The following is a 24,171-nucleotide window of genomic DNA, read 5'->3' as shown; positions in this document are numbered from 1 at the left end:
TGTTTTTTATACCTAATCTCAGATGTGACACACCATCACTTCTGCCGTATTCTATTGGCCACTCAACCCAACCCTGATACAACATAGGAAGGAACTACACAAGGGTGTGAATACTAGGAGGTAGGGGACATCATCGAGAGGTCATTACAGAGGCTGACGACCACATTGTCAAAAATGAGGATGCCGGTGGCTCACGCCTGTAATCCCAGCACTTTGGGAGGGCGAGGCAGGCGGATCACAAGGTCAGGAGATAAGAGAACATCCTGGCTAACACGGTGAAACCCCATCTCTACTAAAAATACAAAAATTAGGCAGGCGTGGTGGCTGGCGCCTGTAGTTCCAGCTACTCGGGAGGCTGAGGTAGGGGAATCGCTTGAACCTGGGAGGTGGACGTTGCAGTGAGCTGAGATTGCACCACTGCCCTCCAGCCTGGGCGATGGAGCCAGACTCCGTCTCAAAAAAAAAAAAATGAGGATACCCTTCCTGAAGCCCCCAGGAGGCTTCCCTTCATGTCTACTGGCTGAAACTGTGTCACATGTCCATGCCTACACCAGTCAATCATGAGGGGTTTGGGACCATTGTTTTTGATCCCAGTCACAATCACGATTCACCCCTGCGGCTAAGATCCACCTCCACTGAAGCACAGGGTGCCATCTAAAAGAAAGATGGCTACCTGAATAGAGATTATTTGGAATGAGGAAGGGGCAATGGGAATAGATGTTGAGTGGGCAGCCCACAGTGTCCACGACACTCACCCACTAGACTATAAACTGCACAAGGACAGAGATTACATCCTTTCTGACTATTGCATCCCCAGTGCATAGCCTACTGCCTGACACAGAGTAGATGCAACAGTATTTGTTGAATAAATAAATGAATGAATTCATGACTAAACTGGAAGACCATAGGGCAGGAGTTCAGGACTAATACCACCAGCCCGAGGCTTCTTCAGTTCTTAGAACTCAGGAGGCCATCTGCTCCCACCTCCGCCACCAGCTCCAAGAACAGGCAGGATTGGCAGAATTATTCTTTATTTCTGGAGACATTTAATCAGATGCAGTAACACTGATTCCAGGCGAGGGCAGGGGGCATGGGTACCCCTGAAGCAACCAGTATCCTGTGGCCCAAGGTGTCCCCCATCCCCAGACCTGGGATCCCCCTCAGTTACAGTTAAATAGAGAGAGGAAGATCTCCCCAGGGGGCTTTGGGGGGAGGGTCTGCCTCCTGCACCCACCCTCTCCACGCAGAGGAGTCTGAGCACAAGCTATTTACAGTATTCACATCCACTGTACCCCACCAAATCAAGGCAAATACTACAGGTGGCCCCTCCCCAAGGGAAGAGGCCAGAGAGGCTGTGAGTGTATATGTGTGTATGGGGGAGAAGGGATGTCTGCGCGTGCGAGCACACGAATGCACTGAGGGGCAGATCTGGCTCCGGCCAAAGAGACATCAGTCTATAAGGTGCAGATTAAAAACAACAGAGAGGACCCACCCCCAGGGGCCCAGGCCACTTCCATCTTTGTTCTGTCTTTTTCTCCTCCAGACATCCTGGTAGGTGATGCAGAGGAGCCCTCACAACTGTGCCCGGATCCAAGGCAAACCCTCTTAAAGGACTTCTGGGGAAAAACAGGAAGGGAAACAGTCAGGGCAAACAGCACTCAAGCCCAGATAGCTGGGGGTCTTCAGGGTGGAGCAGGAGAGGGTGCCTGGCAGAGCCAGAAGAGAAGGCAGGGCTGAGGAGTACAGGGAAGGCTGCTGGGAGGAATGGAGCTGGGTCCAGGAATCAGGAGATCTACCTGTGACCTGCGGGGACTGCACCACAGCTTTCTTGAGGAAGGCTTCTGCCTCTGCAAAGGGCAGGAGTGTCTCTGGTGTTCGGCTCAGACTCTTGTCCCCAGAGGGTCCGTTGGTGGAGAAGCCATTCTCCTGGTGTGCTGGGAGAGGCTGCAGGCCATTCACCAGGGACGCTGGCAACTCCTTGCTTGGGAGACTGTGGATGCAGAGGCCAAGGCTCAGCACCTCACCTCCCAGGAAAGCCCAGGCCACCCCGCAGCTCCAGCTGCAGTCTGCCTCCCTGCTCAGGGACCCTGGGATTGGAAGCTGGTACCTCCACTGAGGCTCCTGTGGGATGGGCTCCTCTTTCTGCACAGCCTCCTTCTGCAGCCCTGGGGACCGAGCCTCCACAGCTTTCACAGGCTCTGTCACAGGGAAAGAGGGGCCATCAGCCAGGGGCTGGCAAGAGAGGTGAGGATGGAGGAGGAGGAGGATGGCAAAGGGAAGGGAGGCGAGAGGAATGGGGGCTTTACCTGGGCTGGAACCGTTGGCGTTGGCCTCCTTGCTGTCCTGCTTCTGCTTTGAAGAGGAAGAGCAGTCAGGCTCAAGGGACAGCCGGCCCCAGCCACTTCGGACTGAGTTCGGCCCTCCCCTTGCCCGGGCCGCAGCGGCCTCCCTGACAGCCTCGCTCTCCGTGGCCATGGATGCCTTTCCGCAGCCTCCTTTTCACACCCTGCCCCCCACGCCCAGCACTGCCCTTCGGGGGAATTCTGACCTTGGTTTCAGAAACTTCTGACTTCCGAGTCCTCTTCATGATCTCCTCCAGACGCTGTTTGGAGGCCGCAGATCAGTTAGGCTCGAGCCCCGCCCCTAATCCTAAACCTCCCACCAGCCAGACCCGGCCTCGGAGTCTTAGGGCCTCCCAGCTCATAGCAGCCCTCTCCAGGACAGGAACTGGAATTTGCCCCAGCGCTTTCCCGTCCTGTCCGCTCTAAGCCCAGGCCCCGCCCACCTGGCCCGCCCTGCCCAGGCCCCGCCCACAAATCCCCGCCCAGGTCCGCACACCTTTCTGCGCTCTTGCCGCTCTTGCTCCTGCTGCTGGAAGTGCTTTTCCCGCTCCAGACGCTGCCGCTCCGCCTCTTCCCGCGACCGAGCTTCGGCCTCCTCTTTCTGCCAAAGACCCCCATGAGCGTGGGGCACTTGACTCCAGCCTTCCCTCCCGGCCCGCGGCGCCCGCGCCCAGCCGCTTCCCGCCCGCCGGGGGCACCTGCTTCTGCAGCCGCTCCTGCTCCTCCTGCTCGGCCTGCGCCTTCTCTCGTGCCTCCTGCTCCTCCCGCCTCCGGGCCTCCGCCTCCCGCTCCGCCCGGGCCTCGGCCTCCCGTGCCAGCTGCTCCTCTCGCATTCGCCTGGGGGACGGAGCAAACGGCTCAGGCTCGGCCTCTGCTTCTTCTCCAGCGCCCACGAGGGCCCCCTCAGTCCCCGAGGCGCACTCACTTGTCCCTTTCTGCCTGCAGCCTCCGCTCCTGCTCCTCGCGCTCCCGCTGCTCCCGGGCCTGGCGCCGCTTCTCAGCCAAGAGCCGAGTGGCTTCTTCTCGGTCTGTGGTGCCGGCCATTGGTTTGCTAGGGGTCACCGGGGGAGCAGGGGCTGGGGGTGAGGTCAAGACAGCAGCGTCTGGAGGGGGATCCGGGATCAGGCGTCAGCACACCCACGCAGACACCGCCGTCATCTCCCAGCGGCCTGTGTTCTGGGCCTGGGACTGCTGAGGGCAGGAGTCTCCTCTTTCCATGTCCCACTCCCAGTCCTCAGGCATCTCTGGCGGCCCACACCCCCACACAGGAGAAGCTGGCTTCTCTCGCTCGGCCCACCCCTCCCCTCTCTTCATTCCTACCTGTAGGGGTCTCCGCGGGGGGCTGCTCCTTCTGGGGCGGGGCTGGGGTGGGCGAGGGCGCCGGCGAAGGTGCCGGTGAGGCTGGGGCTGCTGACTCCTTCTCGTTACTGGCCCTGCGCTTGCTCTGGCTCTTGTCCTCGGGCCCTGCGGCGCTGGGGCTCTCCTTTGCCTCCTCCTTCCTCCGAACCCGCCCCTTGGGGGATGCAGTGGTGCCTCGGGGGGACGGTGGCTTTGGAGGCAGAGTGTGGCCTGGCCCTGGGCTGGGGCAGGGGGAGGCAGGCCTGTGCCAGGATGTGGAGGGAGAGGATGGCCTGGCCTTGGATTTGGGGCTAAGAGAAAAGGGAAAAGGGAAGGGTTAGGAGACACACACACCCACACGCTGAGAACTTGTTCCTTCCTCTGGGAGGTGCCCCCTCCCCCAGGCTACATCAGCGCCGCCCCCCGCCCCCTTGCTCTCACAGAAACACACCATTCCCTTTTAGAGCATACACCCCAGTTTGTAATGACATGTTTCTGTGGGATTCTTTGATTATTGTATGTCCCCCGCCAATAGCCTGTAAGCTTAATAAGAGAAAAAACCATGCTTGGGTTAGCTCAGCAACGTGTCCTCAGCACCCTGAGTGCTACCTGACAGGTCCATTCATTCAGCAGGTTTTGTTGTTGTTGTTGTTGTTGTTTTTAAGACAGAATCTGGCTGACCCCCAGGCTGGAGTGCAGTGGCATCATCATACATAGCTCACTACAGCCTCGACCTCCTGGGCTCAAGCAATCCTCCCCTTGGCCTCCCAAAGTGCTGGGATTACGGGCGTGAGGCACTACCCTGGCCCTTCAGTAGGTATTCACTGAGTGGTTACCAGGTGCCAGGCACTATTTTAGGTGTTGGGGTACTTCAGTAACCAAAACACTTAAAAAAACAAAAACAAAAACGAACAAAAAGAAAAATGGAGGCTGGGCGGGGTGGCTTACACTCACACATGTAATCCCAGCACTTTGGGAGGCCAAGGCGGGTGGATCACCTAAGCTCAAGAGTTCAAGATCAGCCTGGACAACGTAGCGAAACCCCCACTCTACCAAAAATACAAAAAATTAGCCGAGCGTGGTGGCGCGCCTGTAGCCCCAGCCACTTGGAAGGCTGAGGTGGGAGGATAGCCTGAGCCTGGGAGGTCAAGGCTGCAGTGAGCCGAGATTGTGCCACTGCACTCCAGCCTGGGTGACAGAGGGAGATCCTGTCTCAAACAAAACAGAGAGAATCTGCCCTCAGGGAAGTTGCATTCTAGAGGTGGTTGCCCAACAAATATTTGTGGGTGATGAATAAATGACCCGGTGAGGGGCAGGGTCCCTCGCACCGCCCGCGCCCACCTGAGCTCAGAGGCGGTGCTGGCAGAGAGGCGGGCACGTGGGGAGGCGGGCAGCGACTGGCGCTTCTTGAGGCTGCGCTCCCGGGCTAGGGCACTCTTCTCCTTCTCGTTTTCCCGCTCCTTGTCCTTCTTCTCCTTTTTCTGCACCTGGCAGGGAAGGAGGAACGGAAGAGGAGAGTAGAGGTCAGCAGCGCCCGCGTACCCCAGTTCCAGGCTGCCTGTCCCCACCTGCGCGGCCACTCGAGCCAGTAGAGCCACTCACCGGCGAGGCCTCCGGCCGGCGGCGCACCGGAGCGGGGCTGCCCCCGGCGTTGGGCTTGCGGCGCTCCCCGCGCTCACCGGCGGGGGCGCAGCGGTGCACGCTTCGGGTGACGCTGCACGGCGTCAGGGGGCTGGCGGAGGCCGAGCGCGGGCACACCGGCACGGCTGCAGAGGGATGAGTGCGGTCGGGTTGCGGCCCGCGCGCCAGGCTGGCCCCTGCCCGGCCCCACGTGGGGCCTCTCCCAGGGTCGCAGCCCCTACCCTGGTCCCGGCCGTTGCGGGGCAGTGTGACCGCGCTGCGACTCCGAGCAAGGAAGGAGAGAGTGGGCGTCATCAGACGATCCACGATGCTGCTCTCCCATGCGCTCAGCTGCAGGCTGCGATCTGGGGGTAGAAGGCCAGGCGAAGCCGGTCACCGTGGGGGCCGTAGGAGGCAGGAAGAGGCAAGGGAGCAGACCAGGCACCATCCCCATGCCAAGGCCAAGGCTTCTCACCCGGGAGTCCTCTCCCCACAATCACACCGGGGCCACACTTGTCCTCCCTATGATCTGGACTTCCACTACAGACCCAGGCAACCAGACACTTCCCAGGGCAACATCCTGCATCGGATGAGGGTCCCCGCCTACAACGCTCCCCAGGTGAAGGGGCCCTGAACGGCGCATATAGGAAGGAGCCATCCAGGATTGGAAGAAAACCCAATTGCCCTCTGCCATGTCCCAGTGTAAGGTCTTGCCCCTCCTGCTGTCAGAGGGCTGACCCAGCCGAGGCTGTCCCATGGATTCAGGACAGTGAGGGTCCTTGTGCTCCTCTGACCCAGCTTTTAGCAGTCCTGTGCCAGGGAGAGGCTGCTAGGGTGCCTGCCTGCCCTAGGCCACCCTGCTCTGTCCCCTCAGCTGCTGGGCTATTTTTAAGCCTCAGTCAGGTGGGGTTGGTACAGCAGCTGATTTGGTTGCTAGGCAACAAAGCAGCCAAACAAATGCAAGAGAAACTTATAAATAACTCCCACCATGGCTCCTTCACATATGAGCACCAGGGCATGGTGGGAATGCAGGGGCTATGCCACCTTGGTTGGCTCAACTCTGGGACCAGCCAAGGCCATGACTGGGGCTCTGAAGACAGAGAGGGCAGGATTGCATGGGCCCTCTAGGGTGGAGCCAGAATGAGGGACCCCTCCACCCCACAGCACCCAGGCCAGTCTGACACATGGGGACAATGCCACCTGGCTAAGGTTGGCCCAGACCAGCTGGCTGTGGTTGCAGAAAAGGCTGCCTGCCTGTCCCCACCCCCAGCCACCACCTCCAACTTGCTCTTGAGGCTCCTGCCAGGCTTCCTGCCCTCTGCGGCATTGTGCTTTGTCTCTGTTCTCCTCTCCTACAGGGCAACCTCTGTCCTCAGGGTCCAGACCCATATGCCGGCTCCCCCGAGGGGCACAGAGCCCTGGGTAAGGTAGAGTGGGGATGGGGACCTGGAGTATGTGAGGGCTCCAGGGACCTGGTGTTCTTGCTGAGCTCTGGAGGAGGCTTGGTGGGAGCTACAAGGGGCTCTGGAGGGGGAAGGGCTGGGCCTTCTCTTACTTCTACTGGGGGAGTTCCAGAGCGTGGCAGAGGACTTTGAGAGCCGCTTGTTGATTATAGAGTCCACGTGTTTGGGCAGGTTAACTGCCGACACGGAGCACCTGCTCCCACCTGGAGGGGGAAAAGACACGGCATTAGGGCCGGGCCCGGCAGGAGCCAGTGGGGGGCACCGAGGCCTTCCATGCAGGATGCTCCGAGGGCGGGGTGGGAGAGGGAGGAGTGGGCAGGCTAGGATGAGGAGCAGGAGGCAGCCTTGGCCCTGGGAGAGGGAGGGTGGGGGGGTAGGTGACCAGAGACAACCTGGGTTGGGGGAGCCGACGGAGAAGGAACAAAGGGAGGAGATGAGTAAAACTAGAGAAACTACAGCTTTCCTGGCCAGACCAAGGAAGCCATTCCTTACGGCTGAGTACTGCAACCCCTCCCCATAACCACCCAGCATTAGCACTTGCTGACACTGCCCAGCCAAGACGTTTGGATACAACACCCCCGTACTGGGATAAATGCAAAAACCCTCCTAAACAGGACCTACACAGTCACAGTCACTTGCACAAATCCACGTGTTCATCCAGAATCACAAAAAGACATGCAGACACAGGCATATAGAGTGGCAGATACTTCGGCATGCACACATGTGTGCAGACATGCACAGGGACAGAGACACAAACACTAACAGATAGTGTGTCAGACCCAGATGCACACAAGCCACAAACAGATCGAAGCAACCTCATCATGACATTTGTAGCAGCTCACATTTGTTGATGCTTACCATGTGCCAGGTACTGTGTGGGGCACCACACACATGTGACCTCATTTGATCCTTCAAACATCTATCTACCACCTCAGGGGCAAGTAGTATCACTATCCCCAGTTTATAGATGAAGAAAGTGAGACTTCGAGAAGTTAAAGGTTACGCTGCAAGTGCCAGAGCTGGAACCCAAGTCTGTCTGACTTAGGAGCCCTCACTGAGGTACACAAGGTCACAAACACGCCAAGGCAAACACATATTAAGACACACAATGCACGGGTCCAGGAGCACATAAACAGAAGATACACAGCTAGAAATACTGAAACTTGCCATTGCATAAAGACATCCAAGCACAGTGGTACATACATGCCAGCAAAGAATCAGACCAAAATCCATGGTGGCCCTACGCGGAGAAAACTCAGAGACAAAAATCTACCTTCCGAGACAAGGAGTGACAGTTTCTTTAAGATCCAGTGTCTGTAGGTCATTAAAGTCTTTTATGTATCAACAACTAATAATAATTGACAGGCGCAAAGAAGGCTAATCCTAAAATGACAGAGGTTTGAAGAGCAAACCAAATGGAGAGAATCCATCTCTGATTTGATAGTGGAAGTCCTTGGGAAGGGACAGTTTGGCTTACAGACCATTCTAGAAGACACAAGTCACATAAAGCAAGGCACACCTGCTGCAGGGAGCCACCAGCTTTTTGTAGGGAAGTTGTTCCCTTCCCTTACTTGCCATCCCAGCCTTGCCCACCCACTCCCCAGCCCCTCCAGCCTACTCACTGGTCTTATGTCCTGGAGAGCTGTGGTGCAGGGCCCCTGCCCAGGACCAGCGCTGCTGCCGGATTTCGGCCCACGTCTTCTTCACTGACCGTTGGATGGCTGCTTCATAGCGCTCCTGGGGGAAGGTGGGGAGAAGAGAGAGATGTGGACTCAGAACATTCATCGAATTTGGGATAGAGGCCCTTCTTCCTCCTGTGACAATGCCTCCCCCACTCCCTTCCCTTGGAGTCTTTTCCTGACTCATTGCAGGTAACCAAGGTTACCAAATCCTTGCTATGATTAAGGACCAAGATCCCTTTCAACTTGTTCTTGGGGAGCTTTTCACTGTTCCTGAGTCATTTCCTGAGTGCATGAGTTGATTCTCTGAGGATTGGGTGGACTCCCCCTACCTGGGGCTCCCAGGCAAGGCCACATCTCAGGCACTGAGGGTCCTGACCTTGGGGCTATGTGTTCCCTCTAGCCTGAGGCCCTCCCAGGTAGGGCCAGGTGGCCATTTCCTTCATTTCCTCACCAGCACTCAAGCTAGGGCTTTACCCATGTCACAGAGCTAGGCACGCTCACACAGATGCATACCTGCATACATACAGACACATGGGGTACATGTACGAACACAGGTACTGACAGTAAACAGTTACAGGGGCCTACAGTGGCACATTCAGAAGCAAATGTGCCTGCAGTTGTACAGGTGCCCAGATATTCTAACACAGGGACACAACTGTAGATGTGAACACAAATAGGACCACATAGACACAGATAAGGCAGAGCCGTGAACATGGATGTGTGTACACACTGCACCAGTATGCAGACGGTGAGCACACGTGTACATGGATTCACGGAGACCCATCCCGCACCTTGTTTTTCTCGAGCTTCTGCCGCTGCCGTTCCTCCAGGGCTGCACGGCGTTGCTCGGCTTTAAGACGTTGCTCCTCCAGCCGGCGCCGGCGCTCCTGGAGCTGCTTCTCCCGCAGCGCCTTGGCCTTCTCCTCCTTCTCCAGCCACACTGCCTTCTTGGCCGCTGTGGACAAAGGAGCCCAGTGGCGTGTGTGAAGGGTTCTGCAGAAGGCCTGGGCCAAGGACATTTCCTCCAAGTGGCCAGCCCTGCTACCCATGCCCTGGGTGGGTCTTTCTCCCGCCTGCTTAGGTGGAGCTTTCAGTCTGAGACAACCCCCTCAAATTGAGAGGCTTACTGAAGACAGGACTCAGGAGAGGCCTATTTCTCCTCCATTGGCCTTATGGGCTCTCAGGGCTGAAGGAGAAATGAATGCTTGAGTGCAAGATCCCCATCTGACCTGGGGGGCCTACCAGACAGATGTCCACATACTGTGATTAAGAGCATGGGATTTGGGGTGGCAGGAGGCTTCTGGGTCTGAATGTCAGCTACTCTACTAGCTGTGTGGCTTAAGCAAATGATTTCATCTCTCTGAGCCTCTGTTTCCTCCTCAAAATGGGTTGAGGATTAAATTAGATGTGTGTCCTGCTCTTAGCACAGTGCACATAATTAAGTGTTGCAGAAGTGTTGGTTTTTTTTTTTTTTTTTTTTTTTTGAGACGGAGTTTTGCTCTTGTTGCCCAGACTGGAGTGCAATGGCACAATCTCGGCTCACCACAACCTCCGCCTCCCAGGTTCAAGCAGTTCTCCTATCTCAGTCTCCCGAGTAGCTGGGATTACAGGGATGTGCCACCATGCCTGGCTAATTTTTTGTATTTTTAGTAGAGACAGGGTTTCTCCACATTGGTCAGGCTAGTCTCAAACTCCTGACCTCAGGTGATTCGCCCGCCTCGGCCTCCCAAAGTGCTGGGATTACAGGCGTGAGCCACTGCGCCCCAGCCTGTTGGTGTTATTAATAGGATGCTGATGATGACGATGAAGAAGATGATGAGGCTTCCTGCTCACTCACCCAGGTACTTGGCCCGCTCTTCTCGCCGCTCCTTTGCCAGCTTGTGTCTCTCTCCTGCCTTCTTCACCTCTGAGCAGAGGGAACAAGAACAGACAGGTCAAAAGGCTGTCCCCAAAGAGGAGTCAGCCTCAGATCCCTCCCTCCGGGCCTCACCCCATCCTTTCTTTATCTCCTCTAGGGCAAACAGGACTCTTTCAGTTGGCATGATCCAGGGCCAGGACCCTGAGCCAAGAGGTTTAGGCCCAGGCCGGGGTCATTACACACACCTTGCTTGGTGGGAGGGCTGTCGGAGGCTGGCACTGCTGTTGGAGATGGCTGGCTGCTCCTTCGAGGAGGTCTGGCATCCCGTGGGCCCATGGCTGGTGGGGTGGGTCCTCTGCTCTTTGCTTCAGAGGAAGGGGACTCTTCCTGCGGGGGGGCTGGCCTAGGCCCGACCTGCCCTGAGGGGCTCTCTGGTTCCAGTGGGAGCTGCTTAGAGCTAGTGGCATTCTTCATGGCAGGAGGGGTGTCCGGGGGAGTGTCGGGGACCAGGGCTGACATTGGTGGTGGTGGGGGGGAAGGGTCACCTTCTGGAGAAGGTCTTGGCTCTGGGGGGGTCCTGGCGACCACAGCTGAAAGACCAACACAAGAGAGGAGAGAGGTCAGATTGCTCATCTGTGCCATCAGCCCCATATGTGGCCCTCTCCCTTGTTCAACCGACTTCTTCATTCACTTATGTTTGAGTTATTTCTATGTGCCGGGCCCTGTTCCAGATACTCATGATATAATGGTGAGAAAATAGCCATGATCCCTGCCTCTGTGGCGCTTACCCTCTAGCAGGGCAGACAGACAAATAGCTAGGCAACTACAGTAGAGAATAAATACTATGTCTGGGGCAGCAAAGCAGAGATAGTTAACCTATATGGGGAGGGCTTGCTGAAGAAGTAACAACCAAGCTGAGATCCGAAGGATAAGCTGGAGTCAGCAAAGCAAGGAGGAGAGGTGTTGGCAGAGAAGAGTATATGCGAAGGGGCAGAATGGAGCAGGGTGTGTTGGAAAAGCTGAGAACAAGCTTGTAGCACTTATTCGTGCACCAAATGCACTGATTGTTTCCATGTCTGCCTCCCTCTCCTTTCTGCTTTACTTCTGGGTGACTGTGCCCAACCCAAGGTCTGTTCACAGAGGGTGCCAGTGCTGGGCACATGGGACTGACCAAGAGGAAGGACGTAAGTATGGGCTCTAGTGGAATGCTTTGCTGTGAAGATTCCATTGGCAACAAGCTACGTCCACTTTATAATCTTTTTTCCCCAAGCCACACCGAAATTTCTGCTTTTAAGACATGACTATTGTAGGAATCCTGTAAAAGACATCGAAGTGAAGTAAGGGAGCCACACGATTTGACATATACACATGTGGGGCAATTGAGAGACAGGCTTCAGAGTCAGTCAGATGAGGAAGATGGGAAGAGAGGGCTTGTTTCCCCAGCAGACAACCATGGACAAGCCAGTCAACCTCTCTCAGCCTCAGGTTTTTTTGTTTTGTTTTGTTTTGTTTCCCCCCAAGTCTACTTGCTGCTAGTGAATTTTTCAAGGGTCTAGTTAGTTCCTTTAAGTCTCTTTTTTTAAATTTTTATTTTTTAAGAGATAGGGTCTTGCTATGTGGCCCAGGCTGGATTCAAACTCCTGAGTTCAAGAGATCCTTCTGCCTCAGTCTCCCAAGTAGCTGGGATTACAGGCCCATGCCTGGCTCAGCCTCAGTTTTGATACCTGTAAAATGGGGATAACAAGCCCAAGCTAGTAGGGAATGTCAGCAAGGTGCCTGGCACTATCCACATGCCAGCCAGCAAACAGCACTCCCTGTTGGTCTTATGAAGCCTCCTGGTCTCCCAAACAGAAGCTTCTGTATGTTGAGCCCTGGTGCCATCTGCTGCTACCATCCAGGCACTGAGGAGATCAATGGGAACACAGCTACCAACTTGCTTAGGGAGCAGGGCCGGCATCTGTGGGAAGCTTCATCTAAGGAAACATTTTTCTTTTTTTTTTTTTTTGAGACGGAGTCTCGCTCTGTCACCCCGGCTGGAGTGCAGTGGCGCAATCTGGGCTCACCGCAAGCTCCGCCTCCTGGGTTCACCCCATTCTCCTGCCTCAGCTTCCCGAGTAACTGGGACTACAGGCGCCCGCCACCACGCCTGGCTAATTTTTTGTATTTTTAGTAGAGACGGGGTTTCACGGTGTTAGCCAGGATGGTCTCAATTTCCTGACCTCATGATCCGCCCGCCTCAGCCTCCCGAAGTGCTGGGATTACAGGCGTGAGCCACTGCCCACCGCGCCCGGCCTTTTTTTTTTTTTTTCAAGACAGAGCCTTGCTCTGTTGCCCAGGCTGGAGTGCATTGGCACGATCTCGGCTCACTGCAACCTCTGCCTTCCAAGTTCAAGTGATTATCCTGCCTCAGCCTCCCAAGTAGCTGGGATTACAGGCACCTGCCACCACGCCCAGCTAATTTTTGTATTTTTAGTAGAGACGGCGTTTCACCATGTTGGCCAGGCTGGTCTCGAACTCCCGACTTCAGGTGGTCTGCCCGTCTCGACCTCCCAAAGTGCTGGGATTACAGGCATGAGCCACTGCACCCGGCCTTATATGTTATTAGTTTTAATCCTCACTGACAATAGTTATGAAGGAGTCCTCATATAGATGAGGACAGTAAAGTAAAAAAAGATGAAGCAAAAAAAAGAGGTAATTTGAGATCATTCAGCTGGTCAGTCAGGGAGCCTGGACTTGGACCCAGTAGCCATCATCAGAGCCTGTCCTTACCCATTATACCCTCCTGCCTTGTTGAAGGCAATATGAGGGAATAGGTGTTACGCAATAAATTATCTGAGGCTCACACTATTTTCCGCCTCATTCCTTCCCATCCAGCTTGCTAGGATCCAGGCAAGAGCCCCAGCTGAGGCCCTGTCTTCCCCATTACCCCTCCAACTCCACCAACTCCACCAACTCCTAGGCTACATGACAAGCCACCCATCTCTTCCCATACCAGCAGGAGACGGCTGCCTGGTCACTGCTAATCTATTTCCCAGCCAACTGCAAACTCCTTTACCAATTCCAGTAGTCAACAAAACCAGTTACTCACTCTAGTGAGTGCTTACTACTCACTAACAGTGGTGCACCCTGTGTCCTCGCAATTCTGAGAGGCAGAGATTCTTATCCCCATTATACAAGTGTGGCAACCAAGGCCCAACCTGCAAAGTGATCCACACAGAGTCATAGAACTAGTATGTGGCAGAGTTGGGCTTTTTTTTTTTTTTTCCTGAGATGGAGTCTCACTCTGTTGCCAGGCTGGAGTGCAGTGGTGCGATCTCGGCTCACTGCAACCTCTGCCTCCCAGGTTCAAGCAATTCTCCTGCCTCAGCCTCCAGAGTAGCTGGGACAACAGGCAGGCACCACCACACCCAGCTAATTTTTGTATTTTTAGTAGAGACGGGGTTTCACCATGTTGGCCAGGCTGGTCTCCATCTCTTGACCTCGTGATCCGCCCTCCTCAGCCTCCCAAAGTGCTGGGATTACAGGCGTGAGCCACCGCACCCAGCCTAGAGTTGGGATTTGAACTCAGGACTGTCTGAAGCCAAAGCCTGGGTGTGTAAGTATTAAGCTTGAAGGTTGAGGGTGAGGTCTGTTTATTGCCATTCTCCAAGCACCTGTGCGTGCTGCAGGTGTTGCAAGGAAAACTGGTAGGCGGGTGTTTGTCTACACCTAGGCAAATCACACCCACCAGGCAAGACAGTCAGTGAGTCCCCAGCAAGGTCCTGACTCGCTATGTGAAAGGAGGCTGGGAGGAGGTAGAGGAGTGAGGCTTGGAAGAACCTGCACCCAGGCATCAGATGCAGTGGAGCAGAAAGGTCACAGGCTTCAGAGTCTGACAGGCCTGACTGAGGACCTCGGCTCCCGGCGAACCTCGGGCAAGCCCTGAGCCTGTGTAACCACAGTTCCCTCATGGAGTTGTTGGCACACATGGGGAGTTGGTACAGACGGGTACATCATCGGTGGCACCTGGCAGGGGCTTGGTAAGCAGCACCTGCCCCGAAGAATATATCCACGTCTCCTCATCTCTGCCAGGAGGAAATGCTTCAGCCAGGCCTTACCCCCACTGCTCTGCAACATTGCACTTCTCAAGGACACCCGTGACCTCCATGCTGCTAAATCCAGCAGGCAGTTTTCCATCCCTCATCTTCCTTGGCCACTATGCAGCTGCATCTGCCACAGTTGATTTCTGACTGCTCCTTGAAACACTGTCTTCACCTGGCTTTGAAGACAGCACATTCTCCTAGTTTTCCTTCTACCTTGCTGACTGTCATTTCTCAGTCATCTTTGCTGATCCTGCCTGAACTTCCCAACCTCTCAGCGCTGGAGTGCCCTAGGGCTGAGTGGAGGACCTCATTTATTTTCTATCCACACGCACTCCCTTGGTGACCTCATCCAGACTCACAGATTTAAATACCATCACTGCTGACGACAACCAAATTTGTGTCTCCAGCCCAGGCCTCTCCCTTGAGGTCTAGTTTCACTCATGCAACTCCCAGCTGCTTGACACCCCTGTGTGTCTCAAAGATGCCCCCAATTTAACACATCCCAAACTGAGCTGCTGATCTTCCCCCAAAAGCCTGCTTCTCCCCATTTTCCCCATCTCAGTTAATGACAACTACATCACACCTCATGTCTAATCTCTCAGCAAATCCTTCTGCCTTTATCTTCAAAACAGATCTCAAATCTAATCATTTCTCACTGTCTCCACTTCTATCACTTGGATCAGAGCTACTATCAGCTCTGATAAAAGACTCCCTGCTCCAGTCTTTGTTCCCCCTGGGTCTTTTCTCAACACAGTAGCCAGAGTGATTCTGTTTAAAAATAAGTCAGATTGGCCGGGTGCGGTGGCTCACGCCTGTAATCCCAGCACTTTGGGAGGCCAAGGCAGGCAGATCACGAGGTCAGGAGATCGAGACCATCCTGGCCAACACGGTGAAACCCCGTCTGTACTAAAAACACAAAAAATTAGCCAGGCATGGTGGCAGGCGCCTGTAGTCCCAGGTACACAGGAGGCTGAGGCAGGAGAATTGCTTGAACCAGGGAGGTGGAGCTTGCAGTAAGCCAAGATAGCGCCACTGCACTCCAGCCTGGGTGACAGAAGGAGACTCTGTCTCAAAAAAAAAAAAAAAAAAGGTCAGATCACGTCACTCCTCTGACAAAATCCTGCAATGATTCCTCATTTGAGGGGAAGAAAAAGCCAAAGTCATCATGATAGCCTATTAAGGACTCCCCAGGATCCTGACCTCTTCGACCTTGTCTCCTCTTCTCCCCCTGCTCAGTTTTTCAGCCACTGTCCCTTAAGGGTGTTGGGGAGATTTCTGCCTCAGGGCTTTGTACTGAGGAAACAATATTTCCTCAGTGGCTGTTTCTCTGCCTTGAATTCTCTGCCCCCAGATTCTGCGTGCCTCGTTCCCTCCCCTCCTTCAGGTCTTTATTTTGATGTCACTTTTAAATGGAGCCTTCCCTTAGCCCCTATTTAAAACTACAAACTGGGCTGGGAGCGGTGGCTCACGCCTGTAATCCCAGCACCTTGGGAGGCCAAGGCAGGTGGATCACCTGAGGTCAGGAGTTCGAGACCAGCCTGGCCACAATGGCGAAATCCCGTCTACTAAAAAACACAAAAATTAGCTGGGTGTGGTAGCATGTGCCTGTAATCCCAGCTACTCGGGAGGCTGAGGCTGGTGAATCACTTGAACCCAGGAGGCAGAGGATGCGGTGAGCCAAGATCGTGCCACTGCACTCCAGCCTGGATGACAGAGTGAGACTCCGTCTCCAAAAAAAAAAAAAAAAAAGCTACAAACTGCAGGCGTGGTGCGGTGGCTTATGCCTGTAATCCCAACACTTTGGGAGACCCAGACAGGAGGATCCCTTAAGGCCAGGAGTTTGAGATCAGCCTGGACAACATAGTGAGATTCCATCTCTAAAAAAATTTTTTTAAATTACCCAGGCATCATGACATGCTGAAATAGAGACTGAGGTTACAGTGAACTATGAGCATGCTGCTGTACTCCAGCCTGGGTGACAAAGCAAAACCCTGTCTCTAAAAAAAAAAAAAAAGAAAAAGAAAAAAAAGAAAAATTTTAAATAAAATTAAATAAAGGCCAGGCAAGGTGGCTCACACCTGTAATCCCAGCAATTTGGGAGACTGAGGTGGGAGGATCACTTGAGGCCAGGAGCTTGAGAACAGCCTGGGCAACACAGCCAGACCCTATCTCAACTAAAAAATAAAAAACAGCTGGGCATGGTGGTGCACACCTGTAGTCTCAGCTAGTTAGGATGCTAAGGCAGGAGGATACCTTGAGCCCAGGAGTTTGAGGCTACAGTGAGCGATGATTATACCACTGTATACCAGCTTGGGCAACAGAGTAAGATGCTGTCTCAGAAAAAGAAAAAAAATTAAATAAAACTACAAACTGCAGTTGAAGTCTCCCTCCCAGTTCCAACTAGATTTTTCTTTCCAAGTCTTCTTTTTCTCCATAGGCATTAACACCATTTTAAGTCTCCCACTGCTAGAATATAATCTCTATGAGGGCACAAATTTTTGCCTATTTTGTTAGCTGGTCTATCTCTAGGGCCAACAGAGCCTGGCACATAGGTGCTCCATAACTATTTGTTGAATGAAGAAATGAATGAACTACACCCAGGCAGATATCATCATCACCATCATCGCTCTCACCTGGATGACTACAAAGTCCTCTCACTGCTCGCCTGTACCCATTCCCACTCTCTGCTCCACTGAGCAGCCAGAGCAAATGCAAATCTGATCACGGTGCTCTTTGCCACTTGAAACTTGTCAGTGGCTTCCCCTTCTTGAACTCACCCTACTAGTCCAGTATAATAGTATAATCTGAAGTTCCTGACTCCCTCCCCCTACTTCTTGGATCTCCTCTCCTACCCTGCTCCCCGCTTGCTCTCTGAACTCCAGCCACACTGACCTTCCTTTAATGCTGATGACCATCCACACTCCCTCCTGCCACAGGGCCTTTGCACATACTCTCTTTTCTTAGCTAACTCCTATTTGCCCTACATATGTTAGTTCAGTCATCACTTCCTCATGGAAGCCTTCCTTGGCTTCTCTGATTAGGATAAATTCCCTTGTTGTATATAGTCATGGTTTCATGTGCCTTTGGAACACTGTCACTGTTATGATTTTAAACTTCCTTGCATGGTTCTTTCCTTATTGTCAGCCTCCTCCTAGAAGGTGAGGGAGCCCCACAAGAGCTGGCCATGTCTACTTTGCTCACTGCTGCATCACCAGCAGCTACCACAGTGCCAAGTATACGGAGATAGTCATAAAATATTTGAATAAACAGTATAACACAAATAAAGTGCTATACTATGAGGCTGCCCTAGCCTAAAGCATATAGAAGATTTTTACTCTAATAAAGAGTAGATCTAGGCTGGGCGCAGTGGCTCACGCCTGTAATCCCAGCACTTTGGGAGGCCAAGGAGAGCAGATCGTTTGAGCCCAGGAGTTCGGGAGCAGCCTGGGCAAATGGCAAAACCCCATGTCTACTAAAACTACAAAAATTAGCTGGGCGTGGTTGTGCACACCTGTAGTCCCAGCTACTTGGGAGGCTGAGAGAAGAATCCCTTGAACCCAGAGGTGGAAGCTGCAGTGATCTGAGACTGCACTACTGCACTCCAGCCTGGGCGACAGAATCAGATGCTGTCTCCAAAAAAAAAAAAAAAAAAAAAAAAAAAGAAAAAAAGTATATATCTATGTGGCAACTTATAGCAAAAAGATAAACATTTGAAGAGAAGCAAAACAACTCCATCTCAATAGTGTTTGGGCAGCTTCCTGGACTAAGCCACACAGGTAGAAGTTAATAAAAATAATAATGAGTGTTTACTCCAGCAGCTCAACAAGAAAAACTTCTCAAGAGGCAAACAAGAAGTTTGGAACTCCTCTTGTGACCTGGCACACTATTGACCCTGAATACAAATATTTTCTTCACAATTATGCCAACCCTGATGAAATGTCATTGGCACAGTGTTATGGAGCAAATCACATTAAGCCAAAACTCCTTGGTTAGTTATCTATACAGTATGGTTAATCTATTTATGATCATTCTCATTTTTAACCATCAAATATGATCCTTCGGCTACTTAATTTTATCTTATTTTTGGTCTATGCCAGATTGTGAGGTTTTGCCACTGTTGGTTTTATTTTGCTACACTAATATCTACCAGAAGTATTTGTTAAGAATGAGATAAGAGACAAATAATTTGTATTTATTTCTTGGCACAAAGAGCATTAGCAGGGCAAAAGTGCAGTGGTGGGTTGCATTGTGGGGTCAAAAAGTCCTGTCTTCCTAAGAGCTCCAAGAGGGGCTGTGCCTGGGGTCTGCAGAAAGATCAGGGCCAAGTCCCTCAGAGAGACTGTCACATGTCTCAGAATACTAACACCCCATCTCCACCCTCTGAGAGCTGGCAGTCCTTTCCTTTTGTCTCTCCCTCCTCCCACCCCAACAACTCTTGTTGGGCCAAATATTCCTCTCACAACACTGATAACTCAGTCTAGCTTTTCTGTTTGCCTGCCACCCCCTGCCCTTGTCAGTGTGAGAGCTTATCAAGAGAAGAAACTCAGTCTTAGTCCTTTTTGCAGCCCCAGAGTCTTATACAGGACCTGCCTGGCACAGAGTGGGAGTTCTGTGTCTGTTTAATGAATGTCCGATGGGTGGGTGGGTGGCTGGGTATGTAGATATGTGGGTGGGGGTACTGTAGAAAGCTACCTAGCTAGTGTGTATTTAGACCCTCAAGCTGCTCCAAAGCTTAGTCTCTCTAAACACTAAATGTCATGTTCATCTCAGAACCTGCATGTCCCCAGCCAGTTTCCAGGCCCAAACTAATTTACTGAAGCTCTAACATAAACCAAGCACTTTCCCTATCCCATTTGATCCTGATGACAATCCTAAAAGGAAAGTTCTATGATGGCCCCCATTTCACAGGTGAGAGAATTTACTCAGACAGATTAAGTGGATTGTTCATGCCAGTGTCAGAGGTAGGATTTGAATCCAGAGTTGTCTGATGACAAAACCCTTAAAACCCTTATGTCATGCTGTTTCTGGTAGGCAGTCACATTACCCCGCCCTGAAGCTCCTGCGTGTTCTCTGAAGAAGGAAGTGATTCCGTGGTTCCCCCAGGGAGACTTCCCCCACAAAAGTGAAGGGTGCAGGTGGGGCAAGCAGGCACTGAGCTCAGAGCACAGGAATGTAGGGAAGGCAGGCTCCTGCCCAGGCTGGCTCCCAAGAGGCGGGAAGTGAGGTAGGGGAGAACAGCCCACCTCCAGGGGCAGCGAGAGGGAGTGCCTGGGTGAGGGCTGGTTGTGGCGTGGGGGGTGCACAGACAGCACCTCAGGCAGGAAGCATGGGAGAGGCAGAGGCACGAGGCCGAGAGAAGACAGAACAGAGATCAGCACCTCTAGCAAGAGCCCTCCTGGCCCTCACTGCAGATTCCTAGGTGACAACACTAGAGCAGGCGAAGACAGAGGCAGGCAGAGGGCAGAGACACATGGGAGACAGACGTGCACACAACAGAGACAGACACCAGACAATGTAAACAGGGCCTGCACAATGGCGAGAGACAAGACATATTCTCCTCTCTCTCTCACACACACACACACACACACACACACACACACATACACACACACACATGCAGAGGAAACAGACTTACTGGGATTCAAAACTCTACACATATCTGAGACACACAGATGTACCCACAGAGTACGGGGCCAGGTACCTCCTCTAAGAAACAGACAAAGCCTCAGAGACACACACAGCACACAGAGACACAATGTCCCCGGAATATTTATACAGCGTCATCCAGGTCACTTCTGCTCCTTCTGAGCAAATTATTTCCCTAGGCCCAGAGAAAGTCCGATTAACAGGAGCAACAGCTAATGCTTTTGTCAGGCACAGCTAAACACATTAAACTCATTAGTTCATTTAACCTTTGCCATAATCCTATGAGGTAGATATTATTACCCCATTTTACAAACGAGGAAACAGGTTCAGAGATTAAGACACTTACTTAAGCTCCACAGCTAGTGAGTAGCAAAGCTGGGGTTTGGACCCAATCAGCATGACGGTCTTTACCCTGCCTGCATCCCAGTGGGGACAGCCTCCTGGGTTCCCTCTCCTGGAGAGATCTGGGCTGGGAGAATAGGAGGTCAGTAGAAAGGGCAAACTCTGGGGAATGCCTAATTGTGGGGCCGGGAGAGGAGGGACCCTTAGGGGGCAGCATTATCCCTGGCCTGGACAGAGCTAAGCCGGCTCCGAGAGGGAGTGCCCTAGGAGAGGGCAGCGTGCTCCAGCAGTTGGGCAGTGGGGCACTGGGACCAGGCCACCGGCTTCTGTGGGTGATAAAGCCGGGAACCCGACTGAGACTACAGATCTGAAGGAGCTCTCTGGCCCGGCTGGCGGCCATTGTTCCCAGCCTCCAATCAGGAGCACCCACTTCCTGTTATTTTAGGCGGCAGGAAATGACCCCATCCCGCAGCCTGGGCCCCACCACATCCCTCCCTCAGCCCCAGCAGGGCTGCCCAGGCTGTTGCCCAGATGCTGAAGGCAGAGGCCCAACCTCAGGCCAAGGCCTGGAGATGCCCCCCCAGCTGGACTATTACCACCACCTGGGTCCGGGGCCTTCCTCCTGGTTCAACTGCTTAGGCTCCAACCTGGCAGGCTTCCCAGAGGACCCTGGGCTCTGCTGGGGCTACCTCTGCCAGCCAGGGAAAAGATTATGGGGTCCCCAAGACCAAGATGCCCACACAGGCCAGTCACGGGAGGGAAGCAGGCCAGACCTTGTCACTGGATAGCTTAGCCATGATAATTCAGCTTAGAGGTTTAGGGCACAGACTTCAGAGTCAGACAGATTTGAGTTCAAATCCTGCCTCTGCCAGTTGCTAGCTGTGTGACTTTAGGTAAGTGATTTCATCTCTCTGAGCCTCATCTGTAAAATGGGGATAATGCTAGTCCCTACTCATGAGACTGTGGTGAGGAACAAATGAGACAATGCCCGTGACATGCTGAGCATTGTGCCTGGCACAGAGAAGGCCCTTAATGAATAGGAGATAATAAGTCAGAGATAATTAATGGGAAATAACTTGGTTCACCGGGGAGTCTCTACCTGGCTCACATCATCTCTTACAACTGCTGAGGAGCGCTAGTAAGGGCAGCAGTACCATGTTCCCTACACCCTCCCAGGCTCTCTGCTCCCTTCAGGGCAGAGCTGCAGCTGAGAAGTGGTGGAGGAAACACTGAAGGCTGTGCCCCTGGGTGCCAGGCAGAGATACCACCAGCCAACAAAGCTGCATTATCTGGGTCTGGCTAGTTGGCTCCCTCACTAGCCCCAAGGCCCAGCAGGGACCTAAGGACATGGGTCCCAGCTGCCCTGTGGCCTAACTTCCAGCCTGGGTCAGACCTGAGACCTGACCTGATGGCCCTCAAGTATGGCCATTCTAGTCTGGGCCCAGCTTTCAGTCCCTTCCCTCAGCCCTTCCCCACTATCATGTTAGGAAAGGGGACCTGAGCTGGCCTAGTATCCCTTCCACCTCATTTGCATATGCGTGACTGCACATTAGGGGCTCATTAGAGGCCTCATTATTGGGCCCACCAGCCCAGGAAGGGACTAGGAAGCTGTCATTGGGAGGTGCCAGCCAGCTGGCTGCTGGATGTATGGCCACAGCCCACTGCGCCAGTCTCACCAACGTCTACTCATCCTTTCAGATCCACCTCAAATGCTGCCTCCTCCGTGAAGCCTTCCACAAGCACAGCCCACTGCACACTAACACCATTATACCTGGTTTCCCTGCAGTGAACACATCTGCCTTCCTCGCCGCGTTAAGAGCTCCCCAAGAGTCAAAACTCCGTCTGATTCACTTCTCTGCCGTCCACATAGACTACACCGAGCTGGCATAAGGTGGGGCATCAGCATGGGTGTGCTGGATAGCCGGTTGCACCTGTTTCTTGGGTCTTCTCTCCTGTTCCCACTGTTCCACTTCAGGTATGGGGCCCCTCCGTTCCCTGGATACACCCTAGCTCATGTCTGCCTAGAACTCCCCTCTCCGCTGCCTTCTTGTCCTATACTTACCTCCTACAATTCTAATCAATCACATCTCAGGCTTCTGACGGAATTAAAAATAATGACAAAAAACAAATAGCTAGGCTGGGGGTGGTGGCTCACGCCTGTAATCCCAGCGCTTTGGGAGGCCAAGGTGGGAAGATCACGAGGTCAGGAGTTCGAGACCAGCCCGGCCAATGTGGCAAAACCCTGTCTCTACTAAAAATACAAAAATTAGCCGGGCGCGGTGGCAGGCGCCTGTAATCCCAGCTACTCGGGAGGCTGAGGCAAGAGAATCGCTTGAACCTGGGAGGCGGAGGTTGCAGTGTGCCGAGATCGTGGCATTGCACTCCAGCCTGGGTGACAAGAGCAAGACTCTGTCTCAAAATAAATAAATAAATAAATAAATAAATAAATAAATAACAAATGGCTAGCACTTATTGGGCACTGGCTATGTGCCAGGGCCTAGTCTAAGTGTTTTCTGTTTTCATCTAATTTAAGGATGCCAATGTCTCTATGAGATAATTTCTAGCATTATTCTCATTTTACAGATGAGCAAACTTAAGACTTAGGTTAAGCAACTTACTGAGGTCACACAGAGGTAAGTTACGAAGTGGAGACTTAAACTGTTTAATTCCAAAATCTACACTCTTAAACAAATCGACTTCCAATTCCTGCTCCCACCCTCCCCTATATTTCATACCTCCCTGCTGGCACCGGTTGCAGAAGCATAACCACAATAATGGTAATAACACTTTATTGCAGGTGTCTGGTGTCTGCGTGCCAGATTCCTTGAGTTAAATCATCTCTAACCCTCACATTAACCCCACAAGGTTGACAACACTGCCCCTATTTTCCAGGGGCAGAAACTGTGGCTCCAGGAGGTAAGTCACTTGCTCCAGTCCAGTAGCCAGTACATGGCTAACTGGGATTTCCATCCAGGTTTTCTGACCTGAAAGTGGTCCCCACACTTGTCCTCTACTCCACACCACCCCCTGTTACTGCTCAGTGTCCAAGTGCAAAAAGGAACTCAGAGGGAGCAGGGTTCGTGTCACATGCTCTCGGAGTGTCAGGCCCATGCCTCAGACTATCACAGGGCACATGCTGTGAGCACATTTACTCCCAGAAAGCCCCACAGAGGACTCCTGTCACCTTTGACTATTCTGTGTGGGGAACTGCCACCATCCTGATCCAGGTTCTCATGTGACTCCATCTAGATCCCTGTGTATAGAAGAGTCCTCTCAATGCAAGAAGCCTATATGCAGTCTGCCCACCGGCCCCTGACGCAGCCCTCCCCGCCCACCGAACATCCCCCCTGCCCCTAGGAGAGCCAAGCATCTCACCCATGCTCTCATATTCAGTCTAGGCATCCTACCCAAGTATCCTAATTATAAACTAGCCACCAGCTCAGGCTCTGTATCCCAGTCACCACCCCCATTCAGGCCCCCAACTATCCAGTGCCAGAGGCCCTCAGGTGCAGAGGGCCAGTAAGCTGAGGTTGGACTCAGGCTGGGCCTCCCTGGGTGTCCCCTCTCAGGTTCAGCCAAACCAGGACAGACCCAGCCACCCTTGTTTCCAGCCCAGCCTACAAGCCTCCTGAAACCCACCAGTCTGATGGTAGCCTCCCCTCCCTGTTCTCCCAGGTCCCACACCCAGACAGTCCCCTAGAAGCATCCTCGCTGGCATGGGGAGGAGCCCACCCACAGCCCATTGGCCCCACCTTATCCTGGGCTCTCCGCACCCACACGAACTGTTTCATCCTGTGC

The 24,171-nt window shown here is 53.2% G+C and overlaps 1 protein-coding gene across 4 annotated transcripts in view, besides 10 other annotated features; it reads right to left on the bottom strand.

Annotated features, from left to right (window-relative positions):
- Positions 1-1,014: 1,014 nt before the first annotated feature.
- The window catches only part of MAP7D1 (MAP7 domain containing 1), a 24,690-nt gene continuing 1,533 nt past the window's right edge, over positions 1,015-24,171 (bottom strand). Inside the window, exons 2-18 of one of the 4 annotated variants that reach the window (NM_001286366.2) lie at positions 10,549-10,893; positions 10,283-10,351; positions 9,237-9,400; positions 8,386-8,500; positions 6,856-6,966; positions 5,543-5,665; positions 5,283-5,446; positions 5,022-5,167; positions 3,663-3,991; positions 3,268-3,445; positions 3,041-3,179; positions 2,839-2,943; positions 2,549-2,602; positions 2,307-2,349; positions 2,108-2,198; positions 1,797-1,990; positions 1,015-1,616 (exon numbers count right to left, since the gene is read on the bottom strand). In NM_001286366.2, coding sequence (NP_001273295.1) covers positions 1,606-1,616; positions 1,797-1,990; positions 2,108-2,198; positions 2,307-2,349; positions 2,549-2,602; positions 2,839-2,943; positions 3,041-3,179; positions 3,268-3,445; positions 3,663-3,991; positions 5,022-5,167; positions 5,283-5,446; positions 5,543-5,665; positions 6,856-6,966; positions 8,386-8,500; positions 9,237-9,400; positions 10,283-10,351; positions 10,549-10,893 — 2,381 coding nt within the window. In that variant the 3' untranslated portion in view covers positions 1,015-1,605. Of the gene's footprint in view, positions 1,617-1,796; positions 1,991-2,107; positions 2,199-2,306; positions 2,353-2,548; positions 2,603-2,838; positions 2,944-3,040; positions 3,180-3,267; positions 3,446-3,662; positions 3,992-5,021; positions 5,168-5,282; positions 5,666-6,855; positions 6,967-8,385; positions 8,501-9,236; positions 9,401-10,282; positions 10,352-10,548; positions 10,894-24,171 lie in introns of all 4 variants that reach the window. The other 3 variants (NM_018067.5, NM_001388490.1, NM_001286365.2) reach the window with 3 other exon arrangements.
- Positions 2,405-3,050: an enhancer, noted in NCBI's record as "H3K27ac-H3K4me1 hESC enhancer chr1:36644415-36645060 (GRCh37/hg19 assembly coordinates)". NCBI's record gives its function as "activates a minimal SCP1, AML or CMV promoter by ChIP-STARR-seq in naive H9 embryonic stem cells {active_cell/tissue: H9 hESC(naive)}" and the evidence as "EXISTENCE:reporter gene assay evidence [ECO:0000049][PMID:30033119]".
- Positions 2,582-2,876: an enhancer, noted in NCBI's record as "tiled region #618; HepG2 Activating non-DNase unmatched - State 16:ElonW". NCBI's record gives its function as "activates a minimal TATA promoter and a strong SV40 promoter by Sharpr-MPRA in HepG2 cells {active_cell/tissue: HepG2}" and the evidence as "EXISTENCE:reporter gene assay evidence [ECO:0000049][PMID:27701403]".
- Positions 3,051-3,696: an enhancer, noted in NCBI's record as "H3K4me1 hESC enhancer chr1:36643769-36644414 (GRCh37/hg19 assembly coordinates)". NCBI's record gives its function as "activates a minimal SCP1, AML or CMV promoter by ChIP-STARR-seq in naive H9 embryonic stem cells {active_cell/tissue: H9 hESC(naive)}" and the evidence as "EXISTENCE:reporter gene assay evidence [ECO:0000049][PMID:30033119]".
- Positions 3,697-4,344: an enhancer, noted in NCBI's record as "H3K4me1 hESC enhancer chr1:36643121-36643768 (GRCh37/hg19 assembly coordinates)". NCBI's record gives its function as "activates a minimal SCP1, AML or CMV promoter by ChIP-STARR-seq in naive H9 embryonic stem cells {active_cell/tissue: H9 hESC(naive)}" and the evidence as "EXISTENCE:reporter gene assay evidence [ECO:0000049][PMID:30033119]".
- Positions 6,425-6,514: a silencer, noted in NCBI's record as "silent region_657". NCBI's record gives its function as "represses an Ori minimal core promoter by ATAC-STARR-seq in GM12878 lymphoblastoid cells {active_cell/tissue: GM12878}" and the evidence as "EXISTENCE:reporter gene assay evidence [ECO:0000049][PMID:35858748]".
- Positions 8,117-9,316: an enhancer, noted in NCBI's record as "MED14-independent group 3 enhancer chr1:36638149-36639348 (GRCh37/hg19 assembly coordinates)". NCBI's record gives its function as "activates an origin of replication core promoter dependent on BRD2, BRD4, P300/CBP and CDK7 cofactors, and independent of MED14, by STARR-seq in HCT116 cells {active_cell/tissue: HCT116}" and the evidence as "EXISTENCE:reporter gene assay evidence [ECO:0000049][PMID:35650434]".
- Positions 19,423-19,562: an enhancer, noted in NCBI's record as "active region_746". NCBI's record gives its function as "activates an Ori minimal core promoter by ATAC-STARR-seq in GM12878 lymphoblastoid cells {active_cell/tissue: GM12878}" and the evidence as "EXISTENCE:reporter gene assay evidence [ECO:0000049][PMID:35858748]".
- Positions 20,430-20,669: an enhancer, noted in NCBI's record as "active region_745". NCBI's record gives its function as "activates an Ori minimal core promoter by ATAC-STARR-seq in GM12878 lymphoblastoid cells {active_cell/tissue: GM12878}" and the evidence as "EXISTENCE:reporter gene assay evidence [ECO:0000049][PMID:35858748]".
- Positions 20,711-21,488: an enhancer, noted in NCBI's record as "H3K27ac-H3K4me1 hESC enhancer chr1:36625977-36626754 (GRCh37/hg19 assembly coordinates)". NCBI's record gives its function as "activates a minimal SCP1, AML or CMV promoter by ChIP-STARR-seq in primed H9 embryonic stem cells {active_cell/tissue: H9 hESC(primed)}" and the evidence as "EXISTENCE:reporter gene assay evidence [ECO:0000049][PMID:30033119]".
- Positions 20,820-20,869: an enhancer, noted in NCBI's record as "active region_744". NCBI's record gives its function as "activates an Ori minimal core promoter by ATAC-STARR-seq in GM12878 lymphoblastoid cells {active_cell/tissue: GM12878}" and the evidence as "EXISTENCE:reporter gene assay evidence [ECO:0000049][PMID:35858748]".

This window comes from Homo sapiens, chromosome 1, assembly GCF_000001405.40.
Source record: "Homo sapiens chromosome 1, GRCh38.p14 Primary Assembly".
Taxonomy (NCBI): Eukaryota; Metazoa; Chordata; class Mammalia; order Primates; family Hominidae; genus Homo; species Homo sapiens.
Note: the sequence above shows the minus strand (reverse complement) of the source record. Positions and strands in the feature narration are given on the sequence as shown.